Source organism: Homo sapiens, chromosome 6 (genome assembly GCF_000001405.40).
Source record: "Homo sapiens chromosome 6, GRCh38.p14 Primary Assembly".
NCBI lineage: Eukaryota > Metazoa > Chordata > Mammalia > Primates > Hominidae > Homo > Homo sapiens.
Window position 1 is genome coordinate 100,077,583 of NC_000006.12, and position 1,283 is coordinate 100,078,865.

Sequence of the window (1,283 nt, forward strand, 5' to 3'; positions counted from 1 at the left end):
TATTAAGTTGTTATGAGAAAGTGTGAATTTTCTAGAACTGCTGAGCAACACTGAAGTCCTGCTTTTGAAATTTTGGTCATAAATTTAAAGTATGACTAGTCAGCTAGGTGTGGTAAGCCATGGAGTAGGCAAAAAATTGGGTTAATTTGGACCTATGTTTTGAGTTTAGTATGTGTTGAAAGAAACTAAGGAAATGGTGCATGTTTGCAAAGGAGAGAGTATGGTGATGGACCATGGACTCTAAGCCAGGAAGAGCAGACGTGAGAATATGAAGGGGGTGATGGGCAGCATAAATTAGTGAGATCAATAGACTCCATGTGCCGTCAAATTAAAGAATTGTAAGTATGTTCCAGAGTAATAAGGCTGGATAGAGAGGAGAGAATTATGTAGCTGGGATCTATCATGCCCGGGCTTCTTTGTATGAGAAACAGAACACTTGCTACTAATTTTAAATATTTCCATTTTCAATTCAATAACTTATGTCTGTTAAATTTTTTAATGTAAACATTTAAACACTACTTACACAACTAACAAATTATTAATAAATCAAAATGTGTTAATTTTATAAATAAGTTTATCTTAAACATTTAGATGTGGATTTCAAACACAAATATCCTTAAATATTAGGGAAAAACATGATGTAACATATTAAATTTCTTAAGTGCTTTTACTATCTTAAACATATACACCAATTATTTCAATGATAAACATTTATTATTTCATATGCTACTTCAAAGTTACAAAATTTGGGGTTTGTTTCATCTCTTTATTATACTGTACTTCTTTCTCTACCTCTTTAAGGTGTCATTAACCACATCAGGTCCAAAACAAAAAAGGATGTTTCAGACCAGCTGAGATTTTCATTTCTGAGCTACTGAATATTTGATTCTTGGCTGGGCTAGAGAAGTGTCAAGCAGTCAAGCATTCCCAAAGCAGCAGCACAGTGGCTAACAGGGCCACAAATATTACTACTACACCTGTTAGCTTGGCTTGCCACATACCTCCGTAGCTTCAGCTGGTAAAAAAAAAACTACAATGAGCCCAGATGGAGTCAGAAAGCAAAAGCAAGTGGCATAGTGTTGGCTCCCTGCATCCCTTGTACCACAAGATGGCACCAAACCAGAGAGGCCAGATGACTAACTGTATGAGCGGTGAGCCGCTCTGTTGTAGACGAGCCAACTCTAAACTACAACCAAGCAGTTTTATAGACTTAACAGAAGCCTGCAGCTGTACCTGCAGCTGTAAGGGAGCGTCAAGATGAAAGTTGTGTGCTCAACTGAAAC